Genomic DNA, 22,069 nt, shown 5'->3' with positions numbered 1-22,069 from the left:
AAGCTCAGTGATATGCCGCAGCTGTTGCCTGTGTTCCCCAGTACGAGAAAGAGTCTGGGCCACCCACCTTTGGCCTTTGATTCTTTGCTAGGGGAGCCACAGATATGATCCTTGAATTAAGGAGGACGTGTGGAGAAAATGCATGTATGCATCCCTGAGGTCACCCTGCTGAACCCCTTTACACATGGCAGAATGAGTGGCAGTGTTAAAAACTTCCATGTAGGTCAATAGTGTCAAATCTCATGGTTGTCAAATGGAACATTTTTGTTTCTGATGACATCGTTGGAGCTCCAGGAAATAGCCTAGGGTCTCTGTATTTGAATCCATGTTTTCTCATGGCATGTGAATGTCAAGTCTGCAGTCTGGAACATGGGCAATTCCCTCAAGCAGAAAATGGTTGCACTCTCTCATTAATTAGGACCTATTCAGATATCTATGATCAGTGGTTTCAATATGAACCCTTTAGGTTAGAATTGCTGCCTATCAATTCTTTTTTTTTTTTTTTGAGACCGAGTCTCGCTGTCTCCCAGGCTGAAGTGCAGTGGCGCAATCTCGGCTCACTGCAAGCTCTGCCTCCCGGGTTCACACCATTCTCCTGCCTCAGCCTCCCGAGTAGCTGGGACTACAGGTGCCTGCCACCACGCCTGGCTAATTCTTTTGTATTTTTAGTAGAGACGGGGTTTCACTGTGTTAGCCAGGATGGTCTGGATCTCCTGACCTCGTGATCCGCCTGCCTCAGCCTCCCAAAGTGCTGGGATTACAGGCGTGAGCCACAACGCCCAGCCTATCAATTCTTTCAAAGTGTGTTTAAATTACACTAGTATGTGTGAGTTGCAGATCTTTCATGTTTTCCAGGTGGGAGGGAGAAGGAGAGAGGACAAACATTTCATGTTTCAACACAAATGAGTCTCCTTCAAGTCCAGTGTATTAATTAACAACTGGTTATCCTTAAAAATTGTAGTATAGTGTAAACAGGAATCTATTTATTTCACTAATTAATTCATTTATTTAGACATTAGCATGAATTCTTTATTCTTCCCTCTCTGACTACCTACACATTTCCACTCCCACACACACACGTGTGTGATAAAGTGTGTGTGCATAGTACATCCATCATATAGTACAAGGAAATGTAATTTGAAACAACGACAACTTACGCCACTAAAAGAGTAGACATTTTATCTCTGATACTTTTGACACCTACTATTACAGGCTTATTTCAAGAACACAATTTTCAAATACGTTGTAGTTGGCTCTACAAAAATCAAAATGCAAAATGACAGGTTTTTTTTTTTAACCCCAAATGTCTTATGATTCAAACCCTCTTGAACAGTGTAAGCCACTCTGAAGATCAAGTGCCACCCGTTACGGGAAAGGGTACAAAAGACCTTTGACCTGTCTGCTGCTGGGGAGTTTTGGCCACATCTGGGATTTCCATCAGCACTCACCTTCTTCGGCTCATGAAGAGGCCATGGCAGGTGTTGGTTAAAGAGGGGAAGTTGCTTTCAAAAGACTGAGATGAAAGAACTACTAGAATCAAATAGCTTACTGTAAAGACTGATTCTCTTTTGCACAGTCCTAAGAAATGACCTGTCCTTGGCCTTCCAAGATCTTGCTTCCAGAATATCAACCTGTCAGGACGGGAAAGAAGCAATAGCAGGTGAGACCATCTGAGGCGATCAGAGGGTCTTGATGGCAAAAACAAACTGACTCTATCCCTTTCCCAGACCCCAGACTCCCAGCTATGGTGGGACTAAGAATGCTGAATGCTGGTTCTCAGGCCAGTGAACCTAAGAAACTGAAGAGCACAAAAAGTGCTCTTGGCAGAAACTATTTTAATAGTGCTCGAAATACTTTTAATGAGAAGGGGAAGCAGGAACTTCAAATAAAGTTTCTCTTTTGCATTCCACCAAGAACAGATGTTTGCTTTATTCAAAGAAGTTTCATGGGGGTGATTTCATGCATAGCTAAGAGCAGCAGTAGGGTTTTTTAGCTGTTAGAGCTGGGGTTGATTTACATAATCAGGGTATTACCGCTCCTGTGGCTTTCTACCTATATGCTATTAAACATATGTGTGCTTATATCTGTGTGTGTATGTGTGTGTGTGTTCATAACGCTGGAATCAAGTAAAAGGTCCACCGTCATTTCCTCATCATTCTTGGGAATATTTACAGTATCAGGGCTGCTCTCTTATCCTCCAGCTGTAATAAAGGCAGCACTTTGTACAAAATATCTCATTTAATTTTTATGACAATCCCATGAAATAGGAATTACTGTCCCCACTACATAGATGGGAAGACCGATGCTTAAAGAGGTTGAATACACATGCTAAGGTAGCATAACCAGGAGGTGGCAGAGTTGGGATCTGAGCTGAGGAAGTCCAGGGCTCTCAATTACACTCCCACAAGATAAGGAGCATACATTGTACAGGCTGCACAAAGTCATGAAGAAATCTTGGGTAACCATCTGCAAGCCCATTTACTGATTTCCTCCCTTTAATAGGGCTGACCCACAAGCCCACACACTGTGGCATCCGCTCTCCGCTACCACTTCACCCTGTGTCTCTCTGCTTATGCTGATTTCCGTCCTTTCCAAGATTAGCATTTGGCCTGCCTTCTCTCTATGGCCTCACTGGCCAACCCTGTCAGCAATGTGCCCTGAATAATAGAATCAGGCATAAAGTCCTTGCCCATCTTTCCTAGTAGAAAGGGGATCCCTCCATGGACTTCTGGAGCTGTCCCATTTATGTAGCCATAGCTAACTGCCTAGTCTCTTCTTTCACCAGAGCTCCATGATACCACATCCTGTTGAAAATGACACAAGGAGGAAGAAAAAGTCCCTTTAGGTGGTAGTCATCAACTTTTCCTTTCCACCCCCTCCAGTATGTCTTCATTCTTTCTCTTTCAGCTCTTCAATTTACTGGATTTTTTAAGAGGCTGTGCTCTGTTGCTATGTTCCAGATAGGTAGGTAAGTAGGTAGACAGATTAGATAGATGGATAGATGAATAGATTAGATAAATAGTAGATACATAGATGAATAGATTAGGTAGATGAATAGATAGGTGGATAAATGAATATATTAGACACATGATAGATAAGATAGATAAATAGATTACATAAATAGATAAATAGAAGATAGATGAATGCATTACATAGCTAGATAGATAGGTAAATGGATGGATGGATGGATGGATGGATGGATGGATGGATGGATGGATGGATGGATAGATGTAGATGAATAGATGGATGGATAGGTGAGCAGATAGATAAATAGATAGATGCATATTCTTGGCTTGGGTTACCCCAGAAGCAACCTGAAATAAGAATTCACATGCAAGTAGGAAACACTAGTAGGGGAATAGAGAAGTGAGAAACAGGCAAGAGAAGAAAACCAACCAAAGGAGAATAATCAAGAAAGTTACCACTGAGGGCAAATGAAGCTGAATTCCACTGGGGAATTCTGAGAGACAGTGTAGAGCCTGCTACTCAAAGCGGACCATCATCATCATCATCATCATCATCATCATCATCATCATCATCATCTGAAGCTCTACCACAAATCCACTGAATCAGGATGTGAATTTTTAACAGGATCCCCAAATGATAAAGTTTGTAAAGTACTGAGGTAGAATATGCCTCAAAGTTAATCAGATGAAGGGGTGAGAAAACTGTGATAGTCATTACTAGCTTCCCCCTTAACACTGCTTGTGAGCTGTTTCTGAAGTTAATTCCCCTGCACTCCTGGCTTAGCCTTTGTATGAGCAGGGCATTCATGCCCCAGTGGTCAAAAAGGAAGTCCCCAGACAGAAAATCAAAGGTATTAGCAGGAAGCGGCCCTCAACATGCACAGCTATTACAAGTTCAGCTGTTAAATAGTTAATCTAAATATGATATTAAAACTGAGGTTAAATTATAATAATAAAAACAGCCACAACTCTAATGCTGATTCAAGGTTAAAGATGCATTAAATAGATTGAAATAAGCAGGATTTCATTTAGGCATTTATTCTCAAAAAAGCAGTTGATTTACCTAGTAGAAAAATAACCATTATCACAATTAACTTTAGGAAAATTCAATTAAGATTAATATTATTTTTTACTCAGTAGTTATTTCAGGCCCTCTCAAGCAGGCCATGAGTGAGATCATGAAATATGTTCCCATATTTCATTGACTTATTCTAATTCCTAATATTAACCCCCAGGAGGGGTGGGGAGGCACATGACTGAGGTTTTGCATTGCAAAGACAAACTATGTACTATATTTATTCTGGAGTACATTCACGATCTGAAATTATAGTGGAAAAAAAAAAGACTTGACTCCTATTATAATGCTAAACACTGGTAAAGACATTTGGAGAATATCCAGAAAAATCAGTGACTTCTCCCAGACACAATAGGCGCAATAAGGTAACTACACAAGAAAAGCAGTTTCCACAAAGATGTTAGTTCTGTTACCTCATACACGTATTCTAAAGGAGTACTGGAGTACTTTATAGCACACAAAGAAAAAATGTATTTCTTCAAAAAATTTTAAGATGCATTCAAAAAGTTTCTAAATCAGCTTGGAAAAAAATTAACAAACTAAGAACTTCTTAGAAACACTGAACTTAAAAGAAGTCCCCAAGAAGATTTTCAAGTTAAATATTAGGACTATAGAAAAGTATAAATCCAACATTTTTAGGCATGACAGGATATATTAATTGATGAGCACAAACTATACCTTCACACTTGAACTTCATGAAATATAATTGAAAAGAAAAATAAATGAGCTATATCCTTTCATAAATTTTTTGCTCGACAACACCAAATGAATTCTAAAATATTCTGAACATTATAGAATAAAATTATTGTTCATTTATTAACCAAATACCAAAATCAAAAAACTTTTGCTCAGTAAATGAAAAGTTAATGCATACAGCATATTCTTAACATACAGAATTAATAAAATCCTACTGAATAGTATTTTTTATATATATACTTTAAGTTTTAGGGTACATGTGCACAACGTGCAGGTTTGTTACGTAGGTATACATGTGCCATGTTGGTTTGCTGCACCCAGTAACCCGTCATTTACGTTAGGTATTTTTCCTAATGCTATCCCTCCCCTTCCCCCCGACCCCACGACAGGCCCCCCGGGTGTGATGTTCCCCACCCTGTGTCCAAGTGTGCTCATTGTTCAATTCCCACCTATGAGTGAGAACATGCGGTGTTTAGTTTTCTGTTCTTGTGACAGTTTGCTCAGAATGATGGTTTCCAGCTGCATCCATGTCCTTGCAAAGGACATGAACTCATGCTTTTTTATGGCTGCATAGTATTCCATGGTGTATATGTGCCACATTTTCTTAATCTAGTCTATCATTGATGGACATTTGGGTTGGTTCCAAGTTTTTGCTATTGTGAATAGTGCCGCAATAGACATACGTGTGCATATGTCTTTATAGTAGCATGATTTATAATCCTTTGGGCATATACCCAGTAATGGGATTGCTGGGTCAAATGATATTTCTAGTTTTAGATCCTTGAGGAATTGCCACAGTCTTCCACAATGGTTGAATTAGTTTACACTCCCACCAACAGTGTAAAACCTTTCCTATTTCTCTACATCCTCTCCAGCATCTGTTGTTTCCTGACTTTTTAATGATTGTCATTCTAACTGGTGTGAGATGGTATCTCAGTGTGGTTTTGATTTGCATTTCTCTGATGACCAGTGATTTTGAGCATTTTTTATGTGTCTGTTGGCTGCATAAATGTCTTCTTTTGAGAAGTGTCTGTTCATATCCTTTGCCCACTTTTTGATGGGGTCGTTTATTTCTTGTAAATTTGTTTAAGTCTGTTGATTCTGGATATCAGCCCTTTGTCAGATGGGTAGATTGCAAAAATTTTCTCACATTCTGTAGGTTGCCTGTTCACTCTGATGGTAATTTCTTTTGCCGCGCAGAAGCTCCTTAGTTTAATTAGATCCCATTTGTCTATTTTGGCTTTTGTTGCCATTGCTTTTGGTGTTTCAGTCATGAAGTCTTTGCCCATGCCTATGTCCTGAATGGTATTGCCTAGGTTTTCTTCTAGGGTTTTTATGGTTTTAGGTCTAACATTTAAGTCTTTAATCCATCTTGAATTAATTTTTGTATAAGGTGTAAAGAAGGGATCCAGTTTCAGCTTTCTACATATGGCTAACCAGTTTTCCCAGCACCATTTATTAAATAGGCAATCCTTTCCCCATTGCTTGTTTTTGTCAGGTTTGTCAAAGATCAGATGGTTGTAGATGTGTGGTGTTATTTCTGAGGTCTCTGTTCTGTTCCATTGGTCTATACATCTGTTTTGGTACCAGTACCATGCTGTTTTGGTTACTGTAGCCTTGTAGTATAGTTTGAAGTCAGGTAGTGTGATGCCTCCAGCTTTGTCCTTTTTGCTTAGGATTGTCTTGGCAATGTGGGCTCCTTTTTGGTTTCATATGAACTTTAAAGTCGTTGTTTCCAATTCTGTGAAGAAAGTAAGTCATTGGTAGCTTGATGGGGATGGCATTGAATCTATAAATTACCTTGGGCAGTATGGCCATTTTCATGATATTGATTCTTCCTATCCATGAGCATAGAATGTTCTTTCATTTGATTGCGTCCTCCTTTATTTTGTTGAGCAGTGGTTTGTAGTTCTCCTTGAAGAGGTCCTTCACATCCCTTGCAAGTTGGATTCCATGGTATTTTATTCTCTTTGTAACAATTGTGAATGGGAGTTCACTAGTGATTTGACTCTCTGTTATTGGTGTATAGGAATGCTTGTGATTTTTGCACATTGATTTTGTACCTGAGACTTTGCTGAAGTTGCTTATCAGCTTAAGGAGATTTTGGGCTGAGATGATGGGGTTTTCTATATATACAATCATGTCATCTGCAAACAGGGACAATTTGACTTCCTCTTTTCCTAAAGAAGTACCCTTTATTTCTTTCTCTTGCCTGATTGCCCTGGCCAGAACTTCCAACACTATGTAGGAGTGGTGAGAGAAGGCATCCTTGTCTTGTGCCAGTTTTCAAAGGGAATGCTTCCAGTTTTTGTCCATTCAGTATGATATTGGCTGTGGGTTTGTCATAAATAGCTCCTATTGTTTTGAGATATGTTCCATCAATACCTAGTTTATTGAGAGTTTTTAGCTGAAGTGCTGTTAAATTTTGCCAAAAGCCTTTTCGGCATCTATTGAGATAGTCATGTAGTTTTTGTCTTGGTTCTGTTTATGTGATGGATTATGTTTACTGATTTGCATATGTTGAACCAGCCTTGCATCCCAGGGATGAATCCAACTTGATTTTGTTGGATAAGCTTTTTGATGTGCTGCTGGATTCAGTTTGCCAGTATTTTTTTGAGGATTTTCACATCTATATTCATCAGGGATAGTAGTCTAAAATTCTCTTTTTTTGTTGTGTCTCTGCCAGGCTTTGGTATCAGGATGACGCTGGCCTCATAAAATGAGTTAGGTAGGATTCCCTCTTTTTCTATTGACTGGATTAGTTTCAGAAGGAATGGTACCAGCTCCTCTTTCTACCTCTGGTAGAATTTGGCTGTGAATCCATCTGGTCCTGGACTTTTTTTGGTGGTAGGCTATTAATTATTGCCTCAATTTCAGAGCCTGTTATTGGTCTATTCAGAGATTCAACTTCTTCCTGGTTTAGTCTTGGGAGGGTGTATGTGTCGAGGAATTTATCCATTTCTTCTAGATTTTCTAGTTTATTTGCAGAGAGGTGTTTATAGTATTCTCTGATGGTAGTTTGTATTTCTGTGGGATTGGTGGTGATATCCCCTTTATCATTTTTTATTGCATCTATTTGATTCTTCTCTCTTTTCTTCTTTATTCATCTTGCTAGCGGTCTATCTATTTTGTTAATCTTTTCAAAAAACCAGCTCCTGGATTCATTGATTTTTTTGAAGGATTTTTTGTGTCTCTATCTCCTTCAGTTCTGCTCTGATCTTAGTTATTTCTTGCCTTCTGCTAGCTTTTGAATGTGTTTGCTCTTGCTTCTCTAGTTCCTTTAATTGTGATGTTAGGGTGTCAATTTTAGATCTTTCCTGCTTTCTCTTGTGGGCATTTAGTGCTATAAATTTCCCTCTACACACTGCTCTAAATGTGTCCCAGAGATTCTGGTATGTTGTGTCTTTGTTCTCATTAGTTTCAAAGAACATCTTTATGTCTGACTTCATTTCGTTATGTACCCAGTAGTCATTCAGGAGCAGTTGTTCACTTTCCATGTAGTTGTGTGGTTTTGAGTGGGTTTATTAATCTTGAGTTCTAATTTGATTGCACTGTAGTCTGAGAGAGAGTTTGTTGTGATTTCTGTTCTTTTACATTTGCTGAGGAGTGCTTTACTTCCAACTATGTGGTCAATTTTAGAATAAGTGCGATGTGGTGCTGAGAAGAATGTATATTCTGTTGATTTGGGGTGGAGAGTTGTGTAGATGTCTATTAGGTCTACTTGGTGCAGAGCTGAGTTCACCTGGATATCCTTGTTAACCTTCTGTCTCATTGATCTGTCTAATATTGACAGTGGGGTGTTAAAGTCTCCCATTATTATTGTGTGGGAGTCTAAGTGTCTTTCTAGGTCTCTAAGGACTTGTTTTATGAATCTGGGTGCTCCTGTATTGGGTGCATATACACTTAGGATAGTTAGCTCTTCTTGGTGAATTGATCCTTTTACCATTATGTAATGGCCTTCTTTGTCTCTTTTGATCTTTGTTGGTTTAAAGTCTGTTTTATCAGAGACTAGGATTACAACCCCTGCTTTTTTTTTTTTTTTTTTTTGCTTTCCATTTGCTTGGTAGATCTTCCTCCATCCCTTTATTTTGAGACTGTGTGTGTCTCTACAGGTCAGATGGGTCTCCTGAATACAGCACACTGATGGGCCTTGACTCTTTATCCAATTTGACGGTATGTGTCTTTTAATTGGGGCATGTAGCCCATTTACATTTAAGGTTAATATTGTTTGTGAATTTGATCCTGTCATTATGATGTTAGCTGTTTATTTTGCCCATTAGTTGACGCAGTTTCTTCCTAGCATCAATGGTCTTTATAATTTGGCATGTTTTTGCAGTGGCTGGTACCAGTTGTTCCTTTCCATGTTTAGTGCTTCCTTCAGGAGCTCCTGTAAGGCAGGCCTGGTGGTGACAAAATCTCTCAGCATTTGCTTGTCTGTAAAGGATTTTATTTCTCCTTCACTTATGAAGCTTAGTTTGGCTGGATATGAAATTCTGGGTTGAAAATTCTTTTCTTTAAGAATGTTGAATCTTGGCCCCCACTCTCTTCTGGCTTGTAGACTTTCTTCCGAGAGATCCACTGTTAGTCTGATGGGCTTTCCTTTGTGGGTAACCCGACCTTTCTCTCTGGCTGCCCTTAACATTTTTCCTTCATTTCAACCTTAGTGAATCTGACAATTATGTGTCTTGGTGTTGCTCTTCTCAAGGAGTATCTTTGTGCTGTTCTTTGTATTTCCTGAATTTGAATGTTGGCCTGCCTTGCTAGGTTGAGGAAGTTTTCCAGGATAATATCCTGAAGAGTGTTTTCCAACTTGGTTCCATTCTCCCCGTCACTTTCAGGTACACCAATCAAAAGTAGATTTGGTCTTTTCACATAGTCTCATATTTCCTGGAGGCTTTGTTCATTTCCTTTTACTTTTTTTCTCTAAACTTCTCTTGTTGCTTTATTTCATTAATTTGATCTTCTATCACTGATACCCTTTCTTCTGCTTGTTCAAATCGGCTATTGAAGCTTGTACATGCATCACGTAGTTCTCGTGCCGTGGTTTTCAGCTCCATCAGGTCATTTAAGGTCTTCTCTACACTGTTTATTCTAGTTAGCCATTTGTCTAATCTTTTTTCAAGGTTTTTAGCTTCCTTGCAATGGGTTTGAACATCCTCCTTTAGCTCGGAGAAGTTTGTTATTACCAACCTTCTGAAGCCGACTTCTGTCAGCTCATCAAAGTCATTCTCCGTCCAGCTTTGTTCCATTGCTGGCAAGGAGCTGTGATCCTTTGGAGGAGAAGAGGCTCTCTGGCTTTTACAATTTTCAGCTTTTCTGCTCTGGTTTATCCCCATCTTTGTGGTTTTATCTACCTTTGGTCTTTGATGTTGGTGACCTACAGATGGGGTTTTGGTGTGGATGTCCTTTTTGTTGATGTTGATGCTATTCCTTTCTGTTTGTTAGTTTTCCTTGTAACAGTCAGGTCCCTCAACTGCAGGTCTGTTGGAGTTTGCTGGAGGTCCACCCCAGACCCTGGTTGCCTGGGTATCACCAGCGGAGACTGAAGAACAGCAAATATTGCAGAATAGCAAATATTGCTGCCTCATCCTTCCCCCGGAAGCTTTGTCCCAGAGGGGCACCCTCATGTATGAGGTATCAGTTGGCCCCTACGGGAAGATGTCTCCCAGTTAAGCTACATGGGGGTCAGGGACCCACTTGAGGAGGCAGTCTGTCCGTTCTCTGAGCTCAAACACTGTGCTGGGAGAACCACTGTTCTCTTCAGAGCTGTCAGACTGGGATGTTTAAGTCTGCAGAAGTTTCTGCTGCTTTTTGTTCAGCTATGCCCCGCCCCCAGAGGTGGAGACTACGGAGGCAGCTGGCCTTGCTAAGCTGCAGTGGGCTCCGCCCAGTTTGAACTTCTCCGGCCACTTTTTTTTACCTACTCAAGCCTCAGTAATGGCAGATGCCCCTCTCCCTGCCAGGCTGCTGCCTCGCAGGTCAATCTCAGACTGCTGCGCTAGCAGTAAGCAAGGCTCTGTGGGCTTGGGATCCTCCGAGCCAGGTGCAGGATATAATCTGGTGTGCCATTTGCTAAGACCGTTAGAAAAGCACAGTATTTGGGTGGGAATGTCCCAGTTTTCCAGGTGCTATGTGGAAAACTTCCCTTGGCCAGGAAAAGGAAATCCCCCAACCCCTTGGGCTTCCCGGGTGAGGCGATGCCCTGCCCTGCTTCAGCTCACCCTCCGTGGGCTGCATCCACTGTCCAGCAAATCCCAATGAGATGAACCAGGTACCTCAGTTGGAAATGCAGAAATCACCCGTCTTCTGCATCGATCATGCTGGGAGCTGCATACTGGAGCTGTTCCTATTCAGCCATCTTGGAACAGAATCTCCTGAATATATAGTCTTTTGATACCTCTTGTCTTTCCCTTTATCTCTCCTCTGTCTCCCTTCTCCTTCCCTTTAGCTTCCAGGAGCAAAAGAAGTTTTCTATCTATTAAGTCTCTCCTGAGTCCACTGAACATAGCATTTTCTGTGTATTTCATCACACTACAAATTATCTGCCTCATTAAGAATAAAGTCGAATTGCAATTCAGCATTTGCTGAAGTCATCTCTCCATTTTCTGCTCTGGCCAGAGCATTCAGAAAGACATTTAAGGCTTTAAGTCACCTATTTATTTATAGCATGGTTGATAGACTCATGGATATTATAATGAAAAGCTCTGCTAAATTTGACAATTTGCTACTTACTATATCCTACAGTTTAGGTTAAAAAAAATAGTTTGGGCCAGACATGGCGGCTCACATCTGTAATCCCAGCACTTTGGGAGGCCAAGGCGGGTGGATAACCTGAGGTCAGGAGTTCGAGACCAACCTGGCCAACACGGTGAAACCCGTCTCTACTAAAAATACAAAATTAGCCACGCAAGGTGGCAGATGCCTGTAATCCCAGCTACTTGGGAGGCTGAGGCATGAGAATCACTCGAACCTGGGACGTGGAGGTTGCGCCGTTGCTCTCCAGAGCGACAACAAGAGCAAAACTCTGTCTCAAAAAATCAAATCAAATGTAAAAAAAAAATAGTTTGGAACATCAGCTTGGTTGGAGGGAAGAGTCTTCTTTTCCTCAAAGAAATAAATGATTCCCTCTTCACCTGAGGTATGTGTAGGAGACAACTTGTAGAGAGTTGGAGGCAAGAGTGCTGGCAGGCAGGCTAGTGTCACCTAACCCGCTGCAATTGACTCACTTCTGAGACTGCAGTTAGGAAGTATGCAAAACGTCATGAACCTTGGGGATGAAAATAAATCTGAGACTATCAAAGATCTAATTTATGTCAAAAACTAAATGGATTCTGGACCAGTGCTGTCTAATAGAAATGTAATGTGAGCCACAAAACCAAGTCACTGTGCAATTTTAAATGTAGTAGCTCCATTTGAAAACTAAAAAGAAGCGTTACAACTCTTTTAGAATTCAGAATTCTAAATTCTAAAGGACTAGTGTTAGAATTTCTAACAGGTTTTTTGGTTTTCACTGAAAAAAAACCCCACAGGAAAATCAAAGTAAAAATAAACAGTTAAAACTATAATAGCATATTATTTAACCCAATATGTACAAAATGTTATATTTTTTAATATTTGGCTTTCTTATTTTTCATTAGTCTTCAAAATCAACTGGGACTTTTACATGTACAGCACGTTTTAAATGACCCAAAGCCACCCCGCTGGTCAGCTCAGGTCTAGACAATCTATTAAATGAACCAAATTGCCTTTAAAATCTTTGCAGGATTTTTAATAGCTGGATCAAAAGCACTAGCTGAAATCATGAAGCTAAAACTGCATTTTTATCATAATGAGGTCTGACCTCTTTCATTTATAATTAGAACTCCAACCACCTAACAGGCTTTCCCTGAGGATTATTTTGTCACCCAATTCCATTTCACAGGCTCATTCATCTAAACTCATGTGACGAGCAGCATCACGTTCCCTCACACCACCCTCAAGCACCACACACAAACACACACACACTCCCCAGCCCTCTGCAGCATCCCATCCTCTAGGCCTTGGGAATTGCTTTAAAAATTATGAAACTACTTTAATTCTGATTCACTTTTGCAGCAAAACTCTTAGGTCAAAGCCTGATCTAGGTATTTGTGTGACCACAGGGAGGACCCCAAAAAGTGAATGGCTCTATAGTTTGCAAAAGCTTTACAGTTGCTCCCCTGTATTCATGAGTTTCACATCCATGAATTCAACCAAGCACGTATTAAAAATATTTTTAAAAAATGAATATTTTTGTCTGCACTGAAAATATACAGACATTTTTTCTTGTCAATATTCCCTAAACAATAGAGTATAACTATGTAGATAGCATTTACATTGTATTAGATATTATAAGTAATCTAGAGATGATTTAAAACATACAAGAGGATGTGCATAGGTTATATGTAAATACTACACTGTGTTATACAAAGGACTTGAGTATGTGTGGATTTTGGTATCCATGGGGGTCCTGGAACCAATCCCCCAGGGCCACGGAAGGATGAGTGTATTTGCTAGGGCTCATTTTTTATGTGCTCTGGGCCTCTGGTCAAATTTTGAATTAGAAAGGAGACAAAGGGCAACCTGTCACTTGTGGACAAAATAATATATATTGTCATTGGCTGTGGAAGCAGCCTGAGCACAATAGACTGTAATTAGAGAAACTCTCTCATTCTTATTACAAGTCGCAATTGTGATGTTTCTGGAACTTAACATCTCTCCTGAGGCAAGAATTACCTGTGAGATGACTGAGGAAGGCATATTTCTACATTACACTACCAGGGAGATCTCAGAGAGCACTGACTTGATCTCAGAGAGAACTCAGAGTGCCAATATTTATCTTGACTGTCCTTAGGAAAACTCATGTCCCAGTGATATCCTAGCTTAACCTGGGAAATTTCCTACTGGAAAATATTGTCCTAGAGATTGTGCTGGTTGAGATGTGGAAATGGGTAGGATGAGAATTCTTGGACATGACTGATACCAGTGAGTAGGGGAGGGGTTTTTCCAAAGGGGAGATGAAGACTCACACTCCAGTTGTTAGAGAAGGAAAAGCCTCCTTAGAGGGAGGGAGACCCAAGGGTCAGGGGGCAAGGCTGGGTATGTGGTGTATATCTACGAAGGGTTTAACTCTGTGTAATTTTCTTTTGGACTATGGAAAGTAGTCTTGTGAAGCATACACTATTGATTAATTTCCCCTCCTATACTGTATTCCTTTACAGTTTTTTAAAGTAAAATTCTTGTATAATTAAATAAAAACAGGACCAGTTGCATAATTTACAGGACTAGTGTGAAATTAAAATGTGGGAACACTTTTTCAAAAGTATTTTTCAGAATTTTCACCCAATGTGTTATATACCTACAGTGGAATGTTATTCGCCCTTAAAAGGGAAGGAAATGCCACACATGCTACAATATGGATGGATCTTGAGGATATTATGCTAAGTGAAAAAAGCTAGCCACAAAAGGACAAATACTGTGTAATCTCACTTATATGAGGTACCTAGAGTAGTCAACTTCAGACAGAAAGTAGAATAGTAATTAACAAGGATTGAGAGAGAGGAAATGGGAGTTGTTGTTTAATGGAGAAAGAATTTCAGTTCTGCAAGGTAAAAAGAGTTCTGGAGATTGGTTTCATAATGTTAATGTACTTAACTCTACTGAATGTAGATGCAAAAATTGATACAATACTGCTATGGTTTGTTCCCATCAAATTTCATTTTGAAATTTAATTTCCACTGTGGTGGTGTTGGCAGGTGGGGCCAATTGGAAGGTGTTTGGGTCATGGGGGTGGATTCTTCATGATTAGATTACTACCCTCCCTCAGGGGTTAATGAGTTTTCACTCTTATTAATTCCTATGAGAGCTGGTTATTCAAAGGAGCCTGGTCCTTCCCCCACCCCTTTCCTCTTCTTTCACCATGTGATCTCTGCACATGTCAGTTCCCCTTTGCCTTCCACCATGAGTGGTAGCTTACTGAAGCCCATACCAAAAGCAGATGCTGGTTCCATGCTTTTTGTATAGCCTGAAGAACTGAGAACTAAATAAACCTCTTTCTTTATAAATTACCCAAGTTCAGGTATTCCTTTATAAGCAACACAAAACAGATGGTAAATCTTATGTTGTGTGTATCTTACCACAATTAAAAATAAAATTTAAACAAATTTAAATTATTAGGAATTACAAGATGGCAATTGCAGAACACTAAAATAAGTTTGGGACCCTTTTAAATGTGACATTCTCTGTGATTGCATAGGTTGCAGACCCATGAAGCTGGTCCTGGGTATATGAAACAAAGTAATAAAAGAAAATATGGCCTTTTCAAGATTACTTCCTGTCTGACTCCCAAGTGGTGGTAGCAGCAAGAAGGATTAAAGTACCAGAATTCCAGATGATGATCAGTAGCATGCAGCAGGCTACTAAAGACAAATGAAAATTTTAAAAGCAATCAGTGTAAAACCTAGATTATTTACAAAAGAAACAACTAGACGAATAGAAAAATTCTCATTAGCTATACTAGAGTCCAGAAAACAATAAAATAATGCCTTTAAGCATTAGAAGAAAATAGTTACCAACCTGGGAAGTTTTCTCTAGCTAAATTATTATTCTTGAGTAACGGTAAAATAAAGACAATTTCAAATGAATCAAACCTGAGAGTTTATGACTCATGGTCTTTCCATCACTGAAAGAACTACAAAAGGTGTACATTAGTAAGAAGAAAATCAAACCCAGAAGAAACAGAATGCAAAAAATATGCTGTAGTTTTCCATTCTACTCCATGTCTCATAATTCTTCATATTTTCTATTTCTTTTTTCCTGTGATACATTCTGAATATTTTCTTTGTTTTTTTCTCATTTACTAATTCTCTATTTATTGGGTTGCTAACAATTTTATGTAATTATTAAGACTAAGTTCAGGTAAAGGAATAGCATTTATGGCTTTTTTTAAAAAAAAGGAGGAATTTGGCTTACATCCAAGATGAGTAGCACAGAGTGGATTTATCCTCCTGTCTGAAAAGAAAAGAACAACAACAAAAAAAGCAACAGTTTTCGAGATACTGAATATAAGAAAATAGAGTACAATGATCCTGACTGATGAGAAACATATAAGGTAAGCCCTATAATTGCCCCAGCGTGCAGCTTTGAGAGAGTTTTTAGGCTGTGCCACTGGGAGACAAAACTCAAGGGGAGCCCACTGGACTCCTTGAGTTGAGGGGATGGAGCTGAGAGTCTCAGGAGAAGAAGACTGAGCTCAGGAGAACAAGGACAGAATGCTGGAGAGAAGTGAGATGCAAAGGGAGACAGATTCCCCATCAATAGTCGGATGTATTCTCTCTGTTTAAAAGTTAAGAAGTAGCATGGAAAATGTATTCAAATGACCCAAACCCAACCTCAAGAGATGAAAACTAAAATGTCTGTAATAAAAAATAAATTTCATAAGACTTACAGCATTACATATTGTAGAAGAAAAGTTTAGTGAACTTAAAGGCATAGAAATAGAAACTATCTAAAGTAAAACAAAAGCAAAAAGAATTTAAAACAAGAAGAGCATCAGTTAGCTGTGGGACAACTTCAGGTGAGTTAATATTTATGTAATTGTAGTCTCCAAATAAGAGGAATGAGAAGAGGGAACAGACAAAAAATATTTAAGAAAACAATAGACAAAAATTTGATAAAAATTAAATCCACAGACAAACGATCAATAAATGCCAGTCACAAGAAACATGATAAAACTACCACACAGTGTGTCATAATAAAATTCCTCAAAACCAGTGATACATAGAAAACTTGAAAAGCAGCCATAGATAAAAAATGTATTACTTACAAAAGAACAAAAATAAGGACAGCAGCAGATTTCTCATCAGACACAAGGCATGTGAGATGACAATAAGATAATATCTTTAGACCCTAAAAGAAAAAAAAAACTCTGCTAACTAGAAATCAATACTTATTAAAAATATCTTTTAAGAAATCTATACCCAGCAAAAATGAAGAAAATAACTTCTTCAGAAATACAAATGCTGGAAGAATGCATCATCATAATATCCACACTATAAGAAATTAACTATATGGGTAAATATGGCATTATTAGTGCTTAAATATCTCTAAAAGATAATTGACTAAATAAAAATAATATCAATGTAGTATGAGGCTTTATACGTATAAGTAAAATATATGAAAACAATAGCACAAAGGCTGGGAAGGTAGAAGTTTAAGTGTAATATCATAAGATTTTTATACTCTACATGAAGTGATATGTTATTTGAAGACATGGTATGTTGTTAAAGATGTATCATATGAATAGGAAAGAAACCACCAAGAGAACAAAACAAGAAGTTATTGGTAATAAGCCAACAAAAAACATACAATGATGTTTTAAAGATACTTAATTAATCCAAAAAAAAAAGTGTAAAGAGGGAAGTGGAATTTAAAAAAAAGAGGACAAATAGACTTCACATAGTATAATATATTTAAATCTAAAAATATCGACAAGCACGTTAAATGTAAATGATCTAAACACCTGAATTAAAAGACAGAGATTGTCAAATTGAGTAGAAGAGCAAAACTCAACCCTTTGCTGCCTACCAGAAACACAATTTAAATACAAAGATACAAATACGCAAAAAGAAAAAAGTTGGAAAAAAATGTACTATACTAACATTAATAAAAATAAAAATAGACTGGCTATATCAATATCAGATAACTAGCTGTCAGAGCAAAAAGTATTATCAAAGATAAAGAAGGTCCATTTATAATGATATTTGGGTCAGTTCCTAAAGAGGACATAACAAAACTTTATGTAGCTAATAATAGAACCTAAAACTTTATACAGCTAATAACAGAAGCTAAAAACACATGAAACAAAAACTGATAAAACCACAAGGAAAAATAGACAAGTTCTCAATTATACCTAGAGATTTTAATACATCTCTTTCAATAATTGATAGAATGAGTAGACAGAAAATTAGTGAAGACATAAAAGACATGAACATCGCTATCAACCAACCTGACCTAATTGACATTTAAAGAACTCTTCACCCAGAAGAATGCACATTTTTTAAAAAGTGAAAAGTATTTACTAAGATAGATCATATTTCAGGATACAAAACAAGTTTTAATAAATTTGAAGGAATTCAGGTCATACAAAGTAAATTCTCTGACCACAATAGAATTAAACCAGAAATAAATAACAGCAATATTTGAAAATCCACAAATATTTGGGAACTAAATAAGACACTTTTAAATAACCCACAAGACAAAGAAGAAAACAAGGGGGGAATTGAAACTATATTTAAAAGAATGAAAATGAAAACACAACAGATGAAAATTTGTGGGCAGCTACTGAAGCAATACTTCAGGGGAAATTTATACCACTCCACACCTGACTTAGAAAAGAAGAGGAGCCTCAAGTCAATAAACTCAGCTCTCACCTTATTGAGCCAGAACAAGAAGAGCAAATGAAACTCAAAGTAAGCAGATGAAAGGGAATAATGAAAATCATGATAGAATTAATGAAATAAAAAAACAAAAACAATAAAGAAGATCAACGATATGATTTGCATCTGTATCCCTGCACAAAGCTCACATCAAATTGTAATCCCCTAGTGTTGGAGGTGGGGCATGGTAGGAAGTAACTGAATCATGGGAGTGGATTTCTCATGAATGGTTTAGTACCATCCCCTTGGTGCTGTTCTCATGATAGAGAATTCTTGCAAGATCTGATTGTTTAAAAGTGCGTAGCAGGCCGGGCGCGGTGGCTCACGCCTGTAATCCCAGCACTTTGGGAGGCCGAGGCGGGCGGATCACGAGGTCAGGAGATCGAGACCATCCCGGCTAAAATGGTGAAACCCCGTCTCTACTAAAAATACAAAAAATTAGCCGGGCGTAGTGGCGGGCGCCTGTAGTCCCAGCTACTTGGGAGGCTGAGGCGGGAGAATGGCGTGAACCCGGGAGGCGGAGCTTGCAGTGAGCCGAGATCCCGCCACTGCACTCCAGCCTGGGCGACAGAGCGAGACTCCGTCTCAAAAAAAAAAAAAAAAAAAAAGTGCGTAGCACCTTTGCTCTCTCTCGATGTTTCTATGGTCGTGTGATGTGCCTGCTCCCCCTTCACCTTCTGCCATGATTTTAAGTTTACTGAGGCATTCCGAGAAGCTGAGCAGATGCCAACATCATGCTTCCTATACAGCCTGCAGAACCATGAGCCAATTAAATCTCTTTATAAATTACCCAGTCTCAGGTATTTATTTATAGCCATGAGAGAACAGAATAATACAATCAATAAAACCCAAATTCAGTTATTTAGGGTAATAAAATTGATAGAACTCTAGCCAAACTGATCAGGAAAAATGAAAACACAAGTGGACAATATCATGAACACAAAGGTGACATAGCTACAGATTCTATGGATATTGTCTTAGTCTGTTTTCCCACTGCTGATAAAGACAGACCTGAGCCTGGGTAAATTATAAAGAAAAAGAAGTTTAATGGACTCAGTTCCATGTGGCTGGGGAGGCCTCACAATCATGGTGGAAAGCAACAAGCGCATCTTACATGGCAGCAGGCAAAAAGAGAATGCAAGCCAAGCAAAAGGGGGTTTGCTCTTATAAAACCATCAGATCTTGTGAGACTTATTCACTACCACGAGAACAATATGGAGGAACCACCCCCATGATTCTATTATCTCCCACTGGGTCCCTCCCACAACACATGGGAATTATGGGAACTACAATTCAATATGAGATTTGGTTGGGGACACAGCCAAACCATATCATTCTACTTCTGGCCCCTCCCATATCTTATGTCCTCATATTTCAAAACAATTATCCCTTCCCAACCATCCCCCAAAGTCTTAACTCATTTTAGCATTAACACAAAAGTCCACAGTCCAAAGTCTCATCTGAGACAAGGCAAGTCTCTTCCACCTATGAACCTGTAAAATCAAAAGCAAGTTAGTTACTTCCTAGATACAACTGGGGTATAGGCATTGGGTAAATACAGCCATTCCAAATTGGATAAATTGGCCAAAACAAAGGGGCTAAAAGCCCCATGAAAGTCTGAAATCAAGCGGGGTAGTCAAATCTTAAAGCGCCAAAATGATCTCCTTTGACTCCATGTCTCACATCCAGGTCACACTGATGCAAGAAGTGGGTTCCCATGGTCTTGGGCAGCTCCACCCCTGTGGCTTTGCAGTGTACAGCCTCCCTCCTGGCTGCTCTCAGGAGCTGGCATTGATTGTCTGCAGCTTTTCCAGGTGCACAGTGCAAGCTGTCAGTGGATCTACCATTCTGGGGTCTGGAGGATGGTGGCCCTATTCTCACAGCTCCACTAGGTAGTGTCCCATTGGGGATTCTGTGTGGGGAATCACATCTGACATTTCCCTTCCACACTGCCCTAGCAGAGGTTCTCCATGAGGGCTCCACCCCTACAGCACACCTCTGCTTAGTCATGCAGGTGTTTCCATACATCTTCTGAAATCTAGACGGAAGTTCCCAAATGTCAATTCTTGACTTCCTCGTGCCTGCAAGCTCAACACCATGTGTATGCTGCCAAGGCTTTGGGCTTCCACCTTCTAAAGCCATGGCCTGAGTTGTACCTTGGCCCTTTTTAGCCATGGCTGGAGCAGCTAGGATTCAGGGCAACAAGTCCCTAGGCTCCATAGAGCAGGGGAGCCCTGGGCCCACAAAACCATTTCTTTCTCCTGGATAGGAGTGGCTGCCATAAAGGTCTCTGACCTGCCCTGGAGACATTTTCCCCATTGTTTTGGCGATTAACATTTGGCTCTTCATTACTTATGCAAATTTCTGCATCTGGCTTGAATTTCTCCTCAGAAAATGTTTTTCTCTTTTCTATTGCACCACCAGGCTGCAAATTTTCCAAACTTTTATGCTCTTTTTCCCTTTTAAGAGTGAATGTTTTTAACAGCACCCAAGTCACCTGTTGAATGCTTTGCTGCTTAGAAATCTTTTCCATCAGATACCCTAAATAATCTCCCTCAAGTTCAAAGTTCCATAAATCTCTAGGCAGGGGCAAAATGCTGCCAGTCTCTTTGCTAAAACATAGAGTTACCTTTACTCCAGGTACCAAGAAGTTCTTCATCTCCATCTGAAACCACCTCAACCTGGATTTCATCATCCATATCGTTATCAGCATTTTGGTCAAAGCCATTCAACAAGTCTCTAGGAAGTTTCAAACTTTCCCACATTTTTCTATCTTCTTCTGAGCCCTACAAACTCTTCCAACCTCTGCCTATTACCCAGTTCCAAAGTTGCTTCCACATTTTCTGATATCTTTACAGCAGCACCCCACTCTACCAGTACCAAGTTACTGTATTAGTCTGCTCTCACACTGTTGATAAAGACATACTCGAGACTGGGTAATTTATTTATTTATTTATTTATTTATTTATTTATTTTTTTGAGACAGAATTTCACTCTTGTTGCCCAGGCTGGAGTGCAGGCGCAATCTCAGCTCACTGCAACCTCTGCCTCCCAGGTTCAAGCAATTCTCCTGCCTCAGCCTCCTGAGTAGCTGGGACTACAGGCATGTGCCACCATGCCCAGCTAATTTTTGTATTTTTAGTAGAGATGGGATTTCACCATGTTGGCCAGGCTGGTATTGATCTCTTGACCTTGTGATCTGCCCACCTTGGCCTCCCAAAGTGTTGGGATTACAGGCGCGAGCCACTGCACCCAGCCAAGACTGGGTAATTTATAAAGAAAAAGAGGTTTAATAGACTCACAGTTCCACGTGGCTGAGGAGGTCTCACAATCCTGGCAGAAGGCAAAAAGCACATTTTACATGGCAGCAGGCCAAAAAAAAAGTGAGCCAAGCAAAAGTGGTTTCCCCTTATAAAACCATTACATCTTAGAAGACTTACCACCGCAAGAACAGTATGGGGGAGACCACCCCCATGATTCAATTATCTCCCTCTGGGTCCCTTCCACAACACGCGGGAATTATGGGTGCTACAATTCAAGATGAGATTTGGTTGGGGACACAGCCAAACCATATGAGATATTAAAAGGATACTAAGGAATATTAGGAGTAACTTTACGTCAATAAACGTGATAGCTTAGGTTAAACAAATTTCTTAAATGGCACAAATTACTACAACCCATTCAAGAAGAAACAAATCTGCATAGACCCCCATCTATGAAAGAAATTAAATTTGTAGTTTAAAACCCACAAAGGAAATTACAGACCCAGATGGCTTCACTGGTGAATTCCACCAAACAGTCAAGAGAGAAATAATATCAACTCTGTACAAACATTTCCAGAGAGTGAGGAGCAGATAACACTTCCTAGCTCATTCTAT

General features: G+C 39.4%; 1 long non-coding RNA gene across 5 annotated transcripts in view, besides 2 other annotated features; it reads right to left on the bottom strand.

Moving 5' to 3' along the window:
- Positions 1–22,069, bottom strand: part of LOC105374928 (uncharacterized) — a 106,762-nt gene that overhangs the window by 61,209 nt on the left and 23,484 nt on the right. For 3 of the 5 annotated variants that reach the window (NR_187827.1, NR_187825.1, NR_187828.1), the window contains exon 2: positions 1,449–1,631. The exons of the other annotated variants lie outside the window; for them this stretch is intronic. This is a non-coding gene — a long non-coding RNA (uncharacterized LOC105374928). The remainder of the gene's footprint in view (positions 1–1,448; positions 1,632–22,069) is intronic. 5 annotated transcript variants of the gene reach the window in all.
- Positions 2,505–2,694: an enhancer, noted in NCBI's record as "active region_23987". NCBI's record gives its function as "activates an Ori minimal core promoter by ATAC-STARR-seq in GM12878 lymphoblastoid cells {active_cell/tissue: GM12878}" and the evidence as "EXISTENCE:reporter gene assay evidence [ECO:0000049][PMID:35858748]".
- Positions 18,137–18,256: an enhancer, noted in NCBI's record as "active region_23986". NCBI's record gives its function as "activates an Ori minimal core promoter by ATAC-STARR-seq in GM12878 lymphoblastoid cells {active_cell/tissue: GM12878}" and the evidence as "EXISTENCE:reporter gene assay evidence [ECO:0000049][PMID:35858748]".

Source organism: Homo sapiens, chromosome 6 (genome assembly GCF_000001405.40).
Source record: "Homo sapiens chromosome 6, GRCh38.p14 Primary Assembly".
NCBI classification, from domain to species: domain Eukaryota; kingdom Metazoa; phylum Chordata; class Mammalia; order Primates; family Hominidae; genus Homo; species Homo sapiens.
Note: the sequence above shows the minus strand (reverse complement) of the source record. Positions and strands in the feature narration are given on the sequence as shown.